Source organism: Homo sapiens, chromosome 15 (assembly GCF_000001405.40).
Source record: "Homo sapiens chromosome 15, GRCh38.p14 Primary Assembly".
Lineage (NCBI taxonomy): Eukaryota > Metazoa > Chordata > Mammalia > Primates > Hominidae > Homo > Homo sapiens.
The window spans coordinates 30,168,851-30,187,168 of record NC_000015.10 but is presented as its reverse complement, the minus strand read 5'-3'; the positions used below and the strand labels follow the sequence as shown (position 1 = coordinate 30,187,168).

At 52.1% G+C, this 18,318-nt stretch overlaps 2 long non-coding RNA genes across 2 annotated transcripts; one reads left to right on the top strand and one right to left on the bottom strand.

Annotated features, from left to right (window-relative positions):
• Window positions 1–6,180: 6,180 nt before the first annotated feature.
• Window positions 6,181–7,133, bottom strand: LOC105370747 (uncharacterized). The gene is made up of 3 exons (XR_932053.2): window positions 7,054–7,133; window positions 6,700–6,777; window positions 6,181–6,580 (listed from the first exon to the last, which is right to left on the bottom strand). It is a non-coding gene; the product is annotated as an uncharacterized LOC105370747 (long non-coding RNA).
• A 97-nt stretch (window positions 7,134–7,230) lies between these two features.
• Window positions 7,231–17,184, top strand: LOC105370746 (uncharacterized). The gene is made up of 3 exons (XR_007064553.1): window positions 7,231–8,160; window positions 16,397–16,460; window positions 16,541–17,184. It is a non-coding gene; the product is annotated as an uncharacterized LOC105370746 (long non-coding RNA).
• The last annotated feature ends 1,134 nt before the right edge of the window (window positions 17,185–18,318 follow it).

Genomic DNA, 18,318 nt, shown 5'->3' with positions numbered 1-18,318 from the left:
AAACCCTGATCCCTAATAAACTTCCCTTATTGTTTGGAGCTGACACCTCCCCAGCTTCCAGCTCCCTGGAGAAATGGAACTCTTAAAGCTTTTGCAGAAAGGCCTCCGAGCAGATGGCCCATTGAGCGGATCTCTCAGGCAGAGGCTGCAGAAGCTGCAAGAAAGGCTGTGTATATACCCAAAGGATTATAAATCATGCTGCTATAAAGACACATGCACACGTATGTTTATAGCGGCAATATTCACAATAGCAAAGACTTGGAACCAACCCAAATGTCCAACAACGATAGACTGGATGAAGAAAATGTGGCACATATACACCATGGAATACTATGCAGCCATAAAAAGTGATTAGTTCATGTCCTTTGTAGGGACATGGATGAAATTGGAAACCATCATTCTCAGCAAACTATCTCAAGGACAAAAAAACAAACACTGCATGTTCTCACTCATAGGTGGGAATTGAACAATGAGAACACATGGACACAGGAAGGGGAACATCACACACCGGGGACTGTTGTGGGGTGGGGGGAGGGGGAGGGATAGCATTAGGAGATATACCTAATGCTAAATGATGAGTTAATGGGTGCAGCACACCAACATGGCACATGTATACATATGTAACAAACCTGCACATTGTGCACATGTACCCTAAAACTTAAAGTATAATAATAAAATTAAAAAAAAAAAAAAGAAAGTCTCAGTTCCTTATCTGGGCCCCCAAGCCTAGGGAAAGATGTGGAAGAAGTCCTTGGCAGGTCAAGGGAGGCTGTGAATTTTTTTTCTGCCTTTGCTTTGTTACCTTTCCATTTTTCTTCTCCGCATGTTGCTCCTCTTTTCTCTGTGTCCTGAGATTGGGGAGGGGCTGGGGGGGGAAGGAGGGGCAAAGCCCACAGCCTTTCCCCAGCTGGAATGGAATGCTTGAACCCTGTAGCAGCTGCCGTCTGCTTCAATGGCTTTTGTGATTGCTGTGTTGCTCATGGAATCACATCTTAGCAATTTAACAAAGGGTGCATTTGGAAGCAGAAGGGTTTCTAGTAGAAGGTAATGTGGCTATACTGCAGCAGGAAGGGCTCATGTGAGGTACAAGGAAGGACTTCCTACCTGGGAATTGCCCGCTGTTGGCAAATATGCTAGGTGGAAAACCGTGGGAGTTGATCCACCGGACTCACTTACTCTCTTGGGAATGAGCCAGGTTTGTTACCTGCCCCTGAAGGGGCCACAGTGACATTCCTGGAGGTCAGTGCTGCCACCCAAGACTAAACCTAGTCCCACAGCCACCAAATTAATCATCAGGGCCGGCAGTCCTTGGAGACCAGAAAGCCAGAGTAGCTTCCTAAGCCCTTCGTTTGGCCCCGGGCACTGAGGGAGGGGCAGAGGGTGAAAGGGGGAAGGAAGGCCCTTGGCCTGGCCTCAGCCCAGCCAGCCCTGCAGCCAGGAGAGATACTGCAGCACCTACCAGCAGCCGGCAGGAGAGTGTCTCAAAGCTGCTGCTCACAGTGGGGCAGACGGAGCCTGCCAGCTCCAAGCCTGCCTTCAACCTGCTCCCCACTGCTCGGCTGGGCTGGGACTTGAGGGCAGCTGGCTGCTCAGAGACAAATTGCAGCCTGTCCCCCATCCCCGCCCCCAGCACATGGCACCTGGGTGAGAGCACAGCCCAGCTTCTGGACTTATGTGGACTTCCTGCACACACACTTCGTCCTGAGCCTAGTCGTGTGCCCCTAGTCCATGGTTTTGGTTTTGGTTTTCAGGTTTTTTAAGACAGGGTCTCACTCTGTCACCCAGGCTGAAGTGCAGTGGTGTGATCACGGCTCACTGCAGCCTCAACCTCCCGAGGCTCAGGTGATCCTCCCACCTCAGCATCCCACATAGCGGGGACTACAGGTATGCACCACCGTGCCTGGATAATTTTTGTTTTGCAAGGTTTTTCTTTGTTTTTGTTTTTGTTTTGTTGTTGTTGTTGTTTTGGTAGAGACAGGGTTTCACCATGTTGCCCAGGCTGGGCTCGAACTCCTGGGCTCAAGCAATCCTCCTACCTCAGCCTTCAAAAAGTGCTGGGATTACAGGCGTGAACCACCATGCCCAGCCCCTAGTCCATGTTTTAGTGAGACTTGGAATATGCGAAGCCTTGTACTTGTATGTGCTTGGCACTGTGGTGCAGTGGTTAAACCTCAGATGCTAGGGCTAGGTTGCCTGTATTCAAATGCCAGCTCCTCCAGTTTTTTATCTGTGGGACTTTGGCTAAGTTACTTAAACACTTGTTACCTCAGTTTCCTCATCTGTAAAATGGAAATGAAATAGCTTGCCATCAGGTTGGCATGAGGATTTGATGTATGACTATTTACATATAGCTCTAAGAATAGGCAGTGCCTGACACACGGTGCTATAAAGATTTTGCCATAAAGTGCTATAAAGAGTGTTATTATGGTGTTTCTGAAAACTGACTGACGTTTTGTAGGTAAAGAAACATAGCAGCAGAGCTGGGAGTGGGGCGAGGCAGGGGTATGATTGGCTTTGATGAGAAGAATCTAGAATCCAGTGAACCCACTATTAAGTTACTGCACATGGCCCCAGGCAAGCGGTTTTTCCCTATCTCTTGGACCTCAGTGGTCCCCATTAAAAAATGTGGAGAGGGATGCCTGCCTTCCTCACTTCTCCCAAGATGTCCTGGGATCGAATGAGGCAGATGATGGTCTGAAATAGCCAGTGAGCCTAGCGGATGCACAGGTTGGCCTCTCCCTGTCCCTGCTCTGGAGCACATGCTGGCTTGCTGGCTGAGGTCCTGGCATGTTGGGCTTTCTACCAAGGGCACCAAACCCAGTGTACTGCTCTCCCAGTGAGGCCACTTGGACTCTGGGTGGCTCTGGGCTGAATCTGGCCCTCCTCATTTTCTGTTCTTCCTTATTTCACCTGGAAAAAGGATGGTGGTTTTGTATCTCCTAATGCTCCTTAGCAAGGGAGAAGGAGTGTTTCTGAATGCAGTGTATAGTTGTACAAGCAGAGAAGGGGGCAGGAGAACCTCTCCTTCAAGCTGGGACACCCTGGCCATGAGCTCCAGACAAACTGAGGTGATGCCTTTCCTGGGTTGTCAAAAGTGGGAGCTCCTTCCCCCTACCACTTGCAGCCAGACTATCCACTGTGCAGGGAGGCAGGCAGGGGGCTGATCAGAAGCAGCACATTGAGTCAATATCACATTCAGCATCTTTCCTGCCAGGTAAGACAAGGACCCTGGTTGTTAGTGCCCTTGTCGCTTCCTTCTCTTTCCTCCTTCCTGGCTGGGAGGGAGAGCCAACCTGACCTGCTCACAGTATTGGAGTGATGGTTAGGTTAGGGCCTCTTGGTTTGGCCCCAATATCTTCTGCCAAGAACCATGGGGGTGACCAGGTTGTATATACCCAAGCAAGCAACCAAGTGATGCCCACTGCCCTACAGACTTCCCACCTGATCATCTGGGGTGAGTTGTGTGTAAGGAGAGGGAAGGCCACTTTATAAATAGCCTTAGAAATGTCTGCTTCTGGAGCTGTCCTCAGAGCTTCTTCCTGAATATCATTTTACCAAGAGCCCCAGAGATGAGGTTTCTTGGCCAAGGTCACCCCCAAAATCAACCGTGAGCTCATGTCTTGAAGTCCACTATATTTCATCTGCCCCATTCCCCAGGCTTCCCTAAAGAAGATATCCAGCATTGCCTAGAAATGTAGCTTTCCCTTCTGGTGCCTGTCTCCTGTGACCCTGCTCCTGACCTCATATCCCCCTGAATATCATCCCTTGTAAGTTGTATGGGTTTGGATTAGAGAGCGGGGAGAACTTCCTGAGTGGCCTCATTGGGACAGGGAATGGAGGCTTTCCCCAAGATACATAAGGGCAGGCCTGCTCTCCATGAGTCTGAACTGGATCAGGTCTTAGGAGCTTCAGGAGTTCGACAACACAAAGTCCAAAATCAGGTCCTGCGGCCTCCTAGGCATGGGACTTTGGGCAAGTTGCTGACTGGCTCTGAGCCTTATCATTAAATTGGAATGGATATGATTTACTATCTTATAGAAGTTTATAAATATATATTTACTTTTTGAAAACAGCTTTATTGAGCTATAATTCACATACTATACAATTCACCCATTTAAGGGCACGATTCAATAGCTTTTAATATATTCACAGAATTGCACAACCATCACCACGATCTAATTTCAGAACATTTTTTCACCCCTAAAAAGGAACTCCATACATATTAACAGTCACCCTCGATTCTTCCATTCCTCCCAGCCTTAGCCAACTAATCATCTACTTTCTGTCTCTATGAAATTGCACCTTCTGGATATTTTATTTAGATGGAATTATATAACACATGGTCTTTGGTGCCTGGCTTCCTTCACTCACATAATGCTTTCAAGGTTTAGCCACATTGAAGCATGTATCGGTACTTTATTTCTTTTTATTGCCAAATAACATTCCATTGTGTGGATATACTGCATTTTATTTCTCCATTCATCAGTTGATGGACATTTGGTTGATTCCACTTTTCAGCTACTCTGAATAATGCCGCTATCAACATTTGTGGAAGGGTTTTCGTAAGGATACGTGTTTTCATTTCTCTTGGGTATATGCCTAGGATTGTCAAATGGTATACTTTTTTTTTTTTTTTTTTTTGAGATGGAGTTTCACTCTTGTTGCCCAGGCTGGAGTGCAATGGCACAATCTCGGCTCACTGCAACCTCCGCCTCCTGGGTTCAAGTGATTCTCCTGCCTCAGCCTCCCAAGTAGCTGGGGTTACAGGCATGCACCACCACACCCAGCTAATTTTGTATTTTTAGTAGAGACGGGGTTTCTCCGTGTTGGTCAGTCTGGTCTCGAACTCCTGACATCAGGTGATCCACCCGCCTGGGCCTCCCAAAGTGCTGGAATTACAGGTGTGACCCACCACACTCAGCCAGTATACTTATTTTTAAATGGTATATTTATATTACTAGGCTCTGTTCTAAGTATTTCATATGGATAGTCTCCTTTAATTATCATAATACTCTACAAGGTAGGTACTATTATGAATCCCCTTCTTATAAAGTGAAGAAATGGAGGCATCATTTGAGGGACATCAAGGGATTTGTCCAAGGAGACTCAGCTAAGAGAGCCAGGATTTGGACCCTGGCCTCTGGCCCTTCGCTCTTCCACCAACTTGCTCCCACATGTGAGATTTAAGTGAGAGAACGTCTGAAAGTGCTCCCAGCCTGACTGTAGTAGGTGCCCAAGAAACGTTCGTTGGATGCTGGGAAAGGACCAGACACCTTGCATTTCGCTGTCTGACTCACCATGTGGCTTTAGGGAATTTGTGTCCGTTTGAGCCTCAGTTAAATTTCCCCAATACATAAAGCTTCAATATGGCATTTCATAAAGACAGGACTGAGATGGGAGGTGCAATATCATGGAAAGAGCCCTGGATTCTAGATCTGGCTCTCTCACTGGCTTGGAAGGGGTAGTAATTTCCTTTCTCTGTCTCTGGGTTTCCCCACCATTCAATTAGAGGCTGGAACAATTGATCCTAAGTTTCCTTCCAGCTCCCCCATCCTATATAAGTTCTATATTCTTCCTCAGCAACTGGAGTCCCCTGTGGAGCTAAACTGGGATGAGTGCCCAGGGCCTCAGGTCACTGCTGTGCTCAGCAACACTTCTCCCACCCAGTGTGTTAAAGGCCAGGTAGGGGCTGAGTGGGATGAAGATGGGGAGGGGGAGGACCCACCCTAGGCCTCCCTTCCATTATGGAGCCCTTGGTGTGGGCTGGGGACCTTCTCTTCTCTCAGCCAGAAAAGAGCCACCTCACCTACACATCCCCTCAGTCTTCCCTGGCTCCCCTTCTCTTGAGTCCTGCTCCTCTGGAGTCCTGCTCCCTCTGGAGTCACTGCAGCCCTCATTCCAATGAACTACCCAGCCACCTTTGGAGGCTTGGACTAGCTCCTGGTTTGGGATCACTTATGGGAAAGCGCTGGGCACCCACTGGGTGCCCAGCATATTTTGGTGACTTAAATAGGGATCAGTATTTGAGCTAGTGGCTTCCCCTAGGTCATGATTACCCAGTTCACTTATCCCCATCCTTTGTCAGCAAGAGCATTCACTGCATTCTGCAAACCTAACCTGGCAGCACCCAGCGAGGCGCTTCTGCATCTTCCAACTGCACAGCCACAGCCTGTAAACTTTTCCTTGGCCCTCCCTTTAGTCCATATTCCTTACTTCCTGGATGCCACCGGTCAGAGTGCCTCCTGCATCCCAGGTCCTGTGCCAAACACATAACGTACAGGATGCTGCATTTACCCCTCTGTGGTGGGAATTTGTAGTGTCTCTAGTTTATAGAAGAGGAAGCACATCCAGAACAGGGAAATAACTTCTCCAAGGCCACCAAGCTGGTAGATAACTGTGGAAGGATTTGAGCAAAGGCTGTCTGGTCCCAAATCCTGCATCACTCGACTGAAAGGAAAGATGGCATAAAGGGCTTTTAAGGGGGTGCCCAGAGCCAGGGAAATCAGGTGGAGCCTCTCTGGGCAGGTGGGCTCTGGATTCCTCCGGGGCAGGTCTGTGTCTCTGTGTCTTCTCTCTTCCCCTGCATGGAGAACAGTCGAGCCTGTTGGGTAATGCCTGGGAACACCCTCCTCTGGGCTTAGTCTTCTCATCGACAGAACAGGGTCTGACATTTCCAGCAGCCCTGTGCGCCAAGCTTACCCAGAGATCCGGTGATGGCTACACAGCCTTTCTTCCACTGGTTATAGAGTCACTTTCTCCCAGGTTTGCTGTTCTTCCCTGCAGTGTGATGAGCCGGCGTCTCATCCCCAGCTCCCCATCCCCCAATATCTGTGTGTCTCACTATTTTTAAGCTCCGTGGGCTTAATGAGCTGCCTGCCATGACACGTCTTCGACATTTACCTTTTTCTCTAATGAGCCTCAGAGAGCTAGCCTGGGCTTATTTTTCCCTTGACAGTCCCCCACCCCAGTCAGGAGGCCAGAACTGGGCTATTTCCCTTCTGGGCCCAGACTTGGCTTCCTGAGACCCCAACAGCAGTGTGCCCCACAAATTACCTAGTGGTGGCAACACTGCAGATTCCAGGCCCTGGGGAGCTGACTCCTTCTCTGGTACCACCTTCTGTCTTGTTTCTCCTCTCTTACCCCACCTCAGCCCCTTCCTGCAGAGTGGTGATGTCATAAAGGAAACTCTTGTGGTCCCCACATAATTGGCAGCTACTTCTCTCTGAGGACAAACTGCCTGGCAAACCAGCAGGGCCAGGCAAATGAGGCCAATTGGCAGCAAGGGCTGGGATGGAGATGTCAGAGATTTAGAGGCTCTCAGGGTTGGAAGGGGGACCTCAAATTTCATCTAGGTCAATGCTGTGTCCCCTTACCTGAGTCCTGTCTATAATATCCCTCCCAATAGTGGGCTAACCTCAGCTTGAATGCTCCCGATGATGGAGCACTCATTACCTCCTGGGACCACGAACTCATCAATGGGTGGTGCTGACTGTGCAAAAACCCTCCTTCATTTTGAGCCTAAATCTGTTTTCCAACATGAAGAGAGAAGACCCCCGCAGTGGGTTCATCCTTCTTCTGGCTCCAGCCCTCAGTGCTGCGAAGGAGCCGCAAGTCACTCTTCATGAGGAAACATGCCCGGTGTCTTGGGTGGGGGCAGAGGCACCACTGATCCACAAAGATGTGGTGTGATTTTTTCCTCTCAGGGGACTTTGCTTGGGGGAGGGGCCACTGGGAAGAGCCAAGAAGCTGCTAGAAAAAAACTGAAGTCGTTCCTCCTTCTCAAGTGCGAAGTGAACCTGCAGCAGAACATTAGAAACCCTGATGCAGGCTAGCTCCGTCTGTGGGGACTGTTACATGCTGGTTCTCTGTTGCCAGCTCCAGGGAGTCAGGGTCTAATAGGAGCCACCCCAGGTATTCCACTTATAGTTATAGCTCCAAGCAGGGGTCATCAGCAGGGTGACTGGAACTCCCTGCGGTTCCAGAGAGCCACAGATGCTCACCCATGCTGGCTTTGGTAGGCAGGGAGCTCAGTAAGCCTCTCCGAGGCTCAGGATTTTGCCAGTTTGGAAGAGCACTGGATGATTTGGAAGAGCACTGGATTCCAAGCTTGGAAGAGCACTTGGAAGAGCACTGGATTCCAAGCCAGCTTGGAAGAGCACAGTAAGGCAGGCTTCTTACTCTGTCACTTCGGACAAGTCCCTTCCTCTCTCTGGCTGTCAGTTTCCTCAGCTGTGATATGTGCTATGTGTGGACCTTCAGAAATGGTGCAGGGCTGGGCCCTGCAGCTGCCGAATGCCATGTGTGTGGGTGGAGGTGCTTCATCCTGGGCCGTGCTCTGCAGGACACAGTGTTTGTCACCAGTGGTCATATGAAGGGACAGTCCTCTGCCCAATTCCATTTCCCCTCTCCTCTGGCCCAGAGCAGGGAGGCCAGAGCCCTGTGTACTGCTAGGCAGGGCAACGGCCCATTCTCAAATGTTTGCTGGGGCCGGGGGTGTGGAAAGAGGCTCCTGTGAGGGAAAACCTTGAGGCCTCTGGTGTCCTGGACCAGGGAGGCTCTCCTGCCCTAAGTCAGGCTCTGTGGAGAGGGTCCCAGATGATGGCGTCTCTGGAGCCGGGGTGTGTTCTGCCGTGTCATCACCTTCCCAAGTCAGCTGTCATCGCTGCGCTTTCCAGGGTGGTGGCTGTGAGGGGTCCCATCATGGTCTGTGGTTGCCAGACACCCACCCAGGTGGACGTCTCTTGCCTGGAAACTGGCCAGCCTCTTCCAAGCCCACCCCATCTCCTCCTAAACCTTGGCTCCCTGCTGCTTTTCCAGGAAGCCTTTCCTCAGTGGCTCCCTGGTTCTAGGTGCCTTTGCCCTGTGGTTCTCAGCAGAAGCGCCTGTGCATCATGGGAAAGCCGGTTGGCGATGGGATGCACGGCGCTCTATTAGGGTCTATGCTCTCTCTACCCATGGTGTCCTCCAGCACCTGGTCAAGCCAGAGTGTGTGGGAGCCAGGGGTCCACCCCTAGCTCTTTCTGCTCTGCACATTCGTTTTTCTTTTTGATGAAGTTATAACTTAGATTCAGCAAAGTGCACAACTTATGGATATATGCACCAGTATAATCACCAAAGAAATTCCCCAGAAGGATCCCTGTCCCCTCCCAGCCCCTGCCTGCCCCTCCGGTGTAACCGCTCTATTGCCATGGAGTCATTTTCTGTTCTTCAGAGCTTTCCTCCGATTCCTGGTCATTCCTCAATCTCCCTGGCTTTCCTCTTTCTCTACAAATCCTCCAAATGCTGATATTTCTAGAAGCCCATCTCTGGATTTCTTCTTATGCCCACACTCTCCCCAGCGGATTATTCTTTTGTGCTAGTGACTTCCAGAGTCACTTCTGAGCAACACACCTGCCCCTCCCCTCCAAGCTGCCTGCTGGGTATGGCCGCTTGGCTGGTCTGCTGGCATGGCTAGGTCTCACCTAATGTCAAACTCCTGGGCTCCAGTGATTCTCCCACCTTAGCCTCCTGAGTAGCTGGGACGACAGGCATGCACTACCATGCCTGGCTAATTTTAAAATTTTTTGTAGAGATGGGGTTTCACTGTGCTGTCCAGGCTGGCCTCAACCTCCCAAAGTGCTGGGATTACAGGCATGAGCCACCACACTAGGGATAGGTTTTGCCTGGGACATCCTTGGGGAGTCTGGGCAACCTCACCTCTTCACATCCCAGTGTTGTCATCTATAGGATGGGAGTGGCAGCTAGAGGAAGAACAGCTAGACTCTGCTGACTTCTGAGAGGAGGATGTGGTCAGATACCCACAAATGAGAACTTGAAAATTAGAGCAACCAAAATAGAGACTCAGCAGCCACGGTTGGAGAAGCCATGGCTGCTGAGAGGCCTGAGTATTGGGGAAGGTGGGCTGGAGGACGGGGAAAGGCTTGGCAGGATCTGGACACAGGGGCAGGAAAGAAGCCAGGGATAGTGCAGTGGCTCAGAAGAGAGGACTTGGCCCAGAGGTGGGCATCAAGAAGGCCGTCTGGGCTGGAGCTAAAGGCATGGGTAGAAGGAGGACCATTGATTAAGAGAGGCCTGAATTATCCCAGGAAATTTTAAAAAGGGGTGGCTTAATCTGGCCCTTAATAGGGGGTTAGCAGAGAGGCTGCCCCACCTCTCCACTGGAGCCATCCCCGTGTGCTTCTGACAGGCCTGTGCCCAGCCTGGCTCAGGAACCAGCCATGGACATAATGCCATGCTTTACATACAGTGCTCCTAAGCCTCGCAGCACTGCACAGCAGCTTCCATTATCATTCCCGTTATGCAGATGGAGTGCTGAGGCCAAGAGAGGTTAAGCAACCTGCTCAAGTTCCCATGGCTAAAAGTGACAGAGCTGAGACTCCAGTCCAGGTCAGTCTGTCCAGAGCCCAGGTGCTAATTCACCCCACTTGGCTGCACCTGGTGTTTCACTTGGCTCCTCTTCCTCAGCAGAGCTGTCTTCTAGGTTTGGATCCACATAGAATTCCAAGTTGAGGCTTTCCAATTTGGAATTCTCCCCCTCATTGCTCCCCTCCTCCAGCCCATGGGTGTTTTGAGGCCATGGTTCATCCCTCCTGGCCCCTACCTCCCATGTCTGTCCCGGCTCCCGGTCAGGCAGGAGAGAGCTGGCTTCTTTGGAGCACCTAATTGTGCCCCCGGGACTTGCATGCTCCACTTTAGTTTCTGGAGACCACGAGCTGTCATAGGTGTTGGTGATAATGGGCATCTCTGTCTGAAGAGTGATGGGTACATCTCTGTCCCTGGCGCCTGGCCAGCATCTGGAAGGACGGAGGCGCTCTTGGAAACGGGAGGACCAGACTGCACCTTCCTTGGCTGGCTCCCAGCTCCCACTGAGAGCAGGCTGGGCTCTCCAGACGTCTCATGACCTCTCCCAGGTCCCGGTGTGGCCCAAAGCGAGCTACTCTGCTGCCTGGGAGTACAGCTGTTTCCGTCCTCTGGGAAAGGGTGCTGTGAGCGAGCGACCTGTTTCGCTCCGCCTGAGGCCCAGTTTCCTCAATTACAAAATGGGAATCACAGTCCCCACCTCACAGGGCCCGGATGAAATGAAATACACCGCTGGAACGGAGTGGGCACAGTGGAGGTCTCCCTCCCTGCCCCCGGCACCCACCTCTGAGCCCGGTGCCTTTGTGGTCTTCCCGTTAGACCCACCTTCCCAGTGTGCTTCAGGAGCTCCCTGGGGCTGTTTGTTGGGAAGGAAAGAGCCCTGGGCTGAGTGCTAGGAAGTCAGGGTTCAAGTGCACCGGGAGGCCTTGGGCAAGCTGATCTCTGAGCCTTAGCTGTCTCCTCTGTCAAGGGGCAGAACCACATCTGCTGCACCTCCCAAAGGCCTGAGCTCTGTTGTCTCCCCGTGAGCTGCTTCAGGATGGGGTTGGGTTTTATTCTTCTTGTATTCCCAGCACTTAGCACGGAGCCTGACATAGGATTTGGAGAAAACGAAAGTGAAGATCAGAGGAAAGAGTGGATTTTTAAGCAATTAAACATGCTAGGGGTTATTTTCAAGGTTGGGTAAGGCAGACAACTCCTGGCCAAACCCTCATTAACTGGGGAAGTGGTCTTCATGCCCTTCCTTCGCGCATGACTCTCCAGAGAACCTGAGCTGCACTGGACCTTCTTTCCCCATGGGGAGCCACGGGCCTGCCTACCTATAGTGGAGCACCGCAAGGCAGTGCGCCTGCCCATCCACACCCCACCCATGACCACTCAGGCCCTGGGTGTCAGGGTCTGAACTAGACAGGGTGCCTCTTTCGGCTTTGGGGTTTCTCTTCTCTCCTTTAGCAGGGAGCTTGATGGGACAGAGGTTGCCAGAGTTGGGGGGGCAGTGCCTGCTGAGATCCCCCACCTCCTCCATTGCCTGCTACCAGGCTCAGCAATCAGGCTGCTCCTCTGGGAGCTGGCAGGAAATGCAGTCGTGAACAAGACACGTTCCCACCTCACAGCCTTAGTGATCCTCCAGGAGCTGAGCTGCTTATACAAGTACCTTTGACACCAGGAAGAAGTGACGCAGTCTCTGCAAGAGGAACACACAGAGCCAGGGAAGAGAATTCTGGGCCTCAGGCTCCCCAGCCGCACAACCTCTGCAGCAACCCTTGCCCTCCTGGACAGAGCCGGGGCTGGCTCAGAGTCCCTGACTTGGCGAGCACTGCACCCCTCGTTGTGGGTAACACAAGGTCCGTCCTTGAGTCCATGGTCAGCATGGACTCGGCCTAGCCCCGCTGAGAGGAGAACTGAGGAAAGGAAATGAGTATTTATTTAGGGACCACTTTGTGCCAGCACATGTGGCCTCTTCAATCCTCATAACATCCCTGTGAGACAGGCACCTGATCCTCGGTTTGTAGCTAAGAAATGATCCCAGGGAAATGAACTCATCTCCCAGGGCTGCAGAGCTGCTAAGTGTCAGGTTGGAAAGCAGCCCTGGCTGTTCTAAAGCCCAAGTTCTCTCATGACCCCACTACTCTTTGTGCCCGCTCGCCTTCAGAGGTAGAACTCTCCAAGCATCTCGGAAGGCTCGGTTCTAAAAGCTGAGAGGCTATCTAGGCCGCATGCGGTGGCTCAGGCCTGTAATCTCAGCCCTTTGGGAGGCTGAGGCAGGTGAATTGCTTGAGCCCAGGAGTTTGAGACCATCCTGGGCAACATAGCGAGACACCTTCTCTACAAAAAAGAGCCGGGCATGGTGGTGCGCCTGTAGTCCCAGCTACTCGTGGGGGTCGAGGCTGCAGTGAGCTGTGATTGCGCCACTGCTCTCCAGCCTGGGTGACAGAGTGAGACCCTGTCTCAAAAAAAAAAAAAAAATGAAAGCTGAGAGGCTATCTTGGGAGATGCAAAGCCACTTTCCAAAGGATGGAAAGAAGTGGAGAGAAACCAGGTCTCCTGATGCCTCTTTCAGGTCCCAGACCTCTTGCCACCTTTGGAGACAGAGGGTCTGGCAAGAGTTGCCGCTGCAGAGGGAGGGTGGGGGCTGGTGACCCTGTGGTCTCTTCCAACCCCGAGGCTGTAAGGTGACCTGCACCGTAGTCCACCCCCTCCCATTACCCAAGTACGGGGCCTGTAGCTATCACCCCAGCTTCCGGGACAAGTCCTGTGGCCCCAGACCCCCAGCCCTCCCTTCCCTGGGGCTTCTCACATTTCTACATGTGGCAGTGTAATGCACCTGCACGCAATGTTTGTATGCATGTTCACAGTGCCGGTTCATGCATGTTTATACATTCATACATGGTGTTCATACACATGGCGCTCACGTGCACCCACATACACATACACAGCCTTTCTGGCATTCTCTGCCACGTCCCTGCACTGGCTGCTGTCACCCATTTCAGCTGGGCCTGAGAGATGGAGACAGGACCCCCACCCCGGTGCTGCCGGCTAGCAGATGCCACAGTGCTGATGTTCTGCTCCATTACTGGGTTGATGGAGCCTCCTTCTGCCTCCGGCCTCCCACCGGTTGCCCACCTCCTCCTTTCCAGGGTGTGAGCGTTGACTGGGGGCCTGGGAGGCAGTGAGCCTGGCGGGGGTGCGGCTGTGTGCGGAGGGCATGGGCCTGGCTTGGGTGGAGATGGGGCTGGAGGCAGGCGGCAGGCTCCTGGACGGACAGCAGGGGGCACCACTAGGTCTCCTCGCCGGGCCACAGGAAGGGAGGAGCCGGGCCTCCAGGCTGGGGAGGAGGCTGCGGTCTCTCCAGCTACTCTCCCGCAGCTTGAGCGGGGGCACCTGCCACCCAGCCCGGGCTCCTGCCCCTGCTCCCTTCCCCCTCCCCGCACACTGGCAACACCCCCTCCCCTTACACCCCCAGTCCACGCCACACACACACCCTACTACACACCACACACACCACACAGACACACACCACACACATACCACACACCACAAACATCACACACCCTACTACATGCCACACACACCACACAGACACACACCACACACACACCCTACTACATGCCACACACACACCACACACATCACACACACACCCTACTACATGCCACACACACCACACAGACACACACCACACACACACCCTACTACATGCCACACACACACCACACACATCACACACACCCCACTACACACCCCACATACTACTAAACACCACACACACCACACACACATCCACACTCTACTACACACCACACAGACACACCGTACACACCTTACTACACACCACACACACCACATGCACACACCACACATACACACCCTACTACACACTACATGCACCACACAACACACACCACACACACACCACACACACCCTACTACACACTGCACACATACCTCACTACACACAACACACAACACATACACATATTACACACACCACAGATGCACTGACACACACATCCCACACAAACTCACTATACCCCCATACCACACATATGTACACACCACACATATGCCACTACCCACCACTACCCACATACCCCCTGACACCCCACTAGAGCCTCCACCCCTAACCCACACCACCCCCTACATCACACACACACACCATATACACACACCCCACTGTCCCCCACACCCTAGAGCCCACATTACACACTACACATACAGCACACACATCCTACACACACACACCACCACGTATACCCCTACCCACCACACACGTACACACACCACATATGCACACTCACATCACACACACACCACCACACTCACGCACTCCTATTAAAAGGCTTTTGCTTTCGTGCCAAACCTCTAAACCCATCCCTTAGAGGGGCGGTGATCGGCAGAGATAGTATGTTCAAACCTTGTAACATTTAGTCAGAAAGAAAATGCATCAATTTGTAATGGTTTGTAGCTGAAATTGAAGATGTGCATCTGGCATGAAAGATATCGGGACTGTGCTGGAAGGTGCTGTGTGCCTCACATGAGGCAGAGCTGCTCACACTGTGGCTGGAGGATCCATTGATTGTGTGGGTTAATCACTGCTAAGCCACAGAGAGCTCCCCTTTCCCCTGGTGAGCGCTTCCCCAGCTGACAGTTGCCCACGCGCTCTGCAGAAAGCAGTGCCTCTCTTGGGAGCACGACCAGGGCAGACCCCCACGGTCCTACCCGTCCTCCCTCACACTCAGAGCATGCGCACAACAGACCTCCTGGGGCCCACGGGTGCACCCCCACACACACACACTTTCCGTATCCTACACCAGGCAGCCCAGGGCCCACTGGTCCCCAAGCCTCCATCTGTCCCCACTCAATCACTCATTCGGGGTCCCCCACCCTTCCTGGCGTGCTCCCAAGCATCTTGACACTCAACCAATGGAAGACCCTCTCCTCCGCCCCAGGACAGCTGCCTGTGGGTTTGGGAGATGTTGTGGGGTGCTGGGGAGTGGGGAACCCTGGAGGCCCAAGATGCTGAGTCTCTGGAGAAGGAGGTGGGAAGGCAGCCTGTCTGGGGGCCAGAGGCAGCCCCCTGGGCTGAGAGCAGCTGGGGGCCCCAGCAGGCAGCTCAGGGCTGGCCAGGCAGCTGGACTGTGACTCAGCAGCTTCTCCGCCTTGGCTAGAGTGCGCCGTGCTGCAGTATTAACTCCCTCTCCAGGGAGCCTGGACTCCAGCTTCTCTCCCACGGGGATGGCGGGCTCCTCTGTGCTGTTTCAAGTTGATCCTGGCTGGGGTGGCAGAGCGGAGGGTGTGCTGAGGGGCCTGCCTGGCCAGGGCATCCCTCTGCCCCCTCACCACCGCTACCCCTACACCCTACAAGAGTTAGCCAAGGATCAAATGGAGCCAGGGCTTGGTGGGGTGGCCTGAGGAGCTACAAAGGCCTGGAATCCAGGAATTGACAACTCAGGCAGTTCTGCCACCATTTAGTGGTGTTGTTTGTGTGATGGAGGTAAGCCACCTCCCTTTGGGGCCTCGATTTCTTTGTTTTCGAAAAGAGGCTGTGGACTGCATTGTCTGTAAGAGTCCTTCAGCCCTCACAGGCTGGGTTTTATTAATATTTGTCTGTGATTTAAGGGTATCCATGCCTGGGGTCTAGGTTCAGAGAGAAATAATCCGAGGCAGGCGTGAGGTGCTGCAGATTTGCAGAGCCTTACTCAGGAAACTTCACCTTTGATCATGGAAGCAGTCCTTAAGGCAGGGAGGGCAGGGATGCTTAACCCTCACACACAGCTGCACAAGCGCAGGGAGGCTAACAGGCCAGCCCAAGATTGATGCAGGAAGGGCTCAATCCTCAGCCATTGGATTCTGAGGTGCCCATCAGGTGGCCTGGGATTGCTGATCTCAGCATAGATGCAAGAGAAGGAAAATGAGTGTTGCCGCAGCAGGAGAGATTGAAGTTAGACACTAGAAGGACGTTCCAACTCTCAGGAACCTGGGAGTTGTTAGCTTCCCCAGGGCCAGTCAAGAACAGACTCTGCTTCTATGTGTGCAGAATGACAACCTTGCTCCAAAGTGGAGGTGTGCGTGGACTGACCAAGAAGGCTCATCAGACCTCGGTACACAAGGAACTCAAAGAAATGGGTAATTTATTTTCAGAATGAGCTAGAAAATTAATTCATTAACACTTTATCCTCAGCCTCCCAGGACCAAATGTTGGACTGAAGCACTGGTGCAAAACATAAAGACAAACATTTCTCCTTAAGTATTGATCTTTTTAGCCTACGAGCTTCGGCGACAGGTGTCTTGCTGGTTAACCTATTTCCATCTCATTACTTTGGCTTCTGCAAATACAATGCCGGGAAAGATTAAATACTGTAAGCTGTATCCAGTCAGCTCTCCATTATCTGCATTAATCGAGGCCAGTACTGAGTGGGATAATCCACAGAAGTGCCTAGTCCCCAGATCATATTTAATTGATTTGGGGTGGCAGTTGATGGTGAGTGTGTGTACATGTGTGCACACACACACACATATGCTTTTGGTGAGGGTGAGGATCGAACTTACTCATCTTTGATGTGGCATCAGGATCCCATTTTGGAGGCAGTCTCATTTGGGGGCACACCAAGGGAATCCCAGAAGCCTGCTAGAGGAGACAACAGGGCTTCTAGTCTCCCGACTTTTTGTAGGGAAGAAGAGGCAAAGTGAGAGTCCAGGTGTCCTCTGAGGGTGAGGGGGGCAGGTCCTGGTGGCATTCTCCCTGCAGCATGCCTCCCACCTGGAGCAGGTCAGGCGATTTCCGGGTGAGCTACACAAACCCACTCATTTGTTCTCTCTTTTGGCCGGGCGCAGTGGCTCATGCCTATAATCCCAGCACTTTGGGAGGTCAAGGCGGCAAGATCGCATGAGGCCAGGAGTTCAAGACCAGCCTGAGCAACATAGTGGTACCCTGTCTCTACAAAAAATTTTAAAACTAGCCAGGCATGGTGATGCATGTGTGTGGTCCTAGCTCCTTGGGAGGCTGAGGTGGGAGGATTGCTTGGGCCCAGGAGTTTGAAGGCTGCAGTGAGCTATGATCACGCCTCTGTATTCCAGCCTGAGCAAGGGAGTGAGACGCTGTCTGTAAAAAATAAAATAAAATTAAATAAATTTAAAAACACACAAACCCCCCTCGTTTGTTTTCTCCTTCTCAAGGCTGAGGATCCAGCTCCAGGGTTCTGAAGTACCAGAGGGTGGAAGAGACAGGCAGATTTTCATGGGCTTCAAAATTTTAAAGATACAGAAAGATACCCAGTGAAATATTTTCCAGCTCCTGCTTTCCCAACTCTGCTCCCCAAAAGCAACTACAGCTAATGTCATCGATTCCTTATGCACTTTTCCAGAGCCGTGCTGTGAATATAGAAGCATACAAGCATACATATGCTTCTCCCCCACCCTTTTACACAGGTATCTTGCTCACTCCCCTGCACACTGATTCTTCCACTATCTCCCTTGGAGATCATTCCCTGTTCACCCACACAGAGCAAAGCTCCAGGGCATCTGGGTCTTCTGTGATTCTCCCACGTGGGCTGACCATGGGCAGAGTAAAGACCCTCAAAGCAGAACATCCCAGAACTACTGAGAGTGTGAGGGTGAGTGTGTGAGGTCGTCTCACCCCACCTTCCTCCTCCAGCCTAGCTCCCCTTCCCTCCTACTCAACTTGATTGTCAATCAAGTCTCTCTTTAGTTTAGGTACAAGAACTGTGGCTGAGCTCTGAGCACATCTGGGCATTTGGAGTTAAGGAAAGAGAGAGCCTCTAGACATGCTGTTTCTGCTTGTTATAAGAGGGCTCATAATAGGGGGAGAGATGGTGGCCCCTTCCCCCTGCACTCCCCATCCTGGTGTATCCCTAGGCTCTCTGTTGAGAGCATTCTTTTTGATACTCACCTGAAGTCCTGCTTTCTGCCCTGACAGCTCTCTACATGATAGAAAGAAAA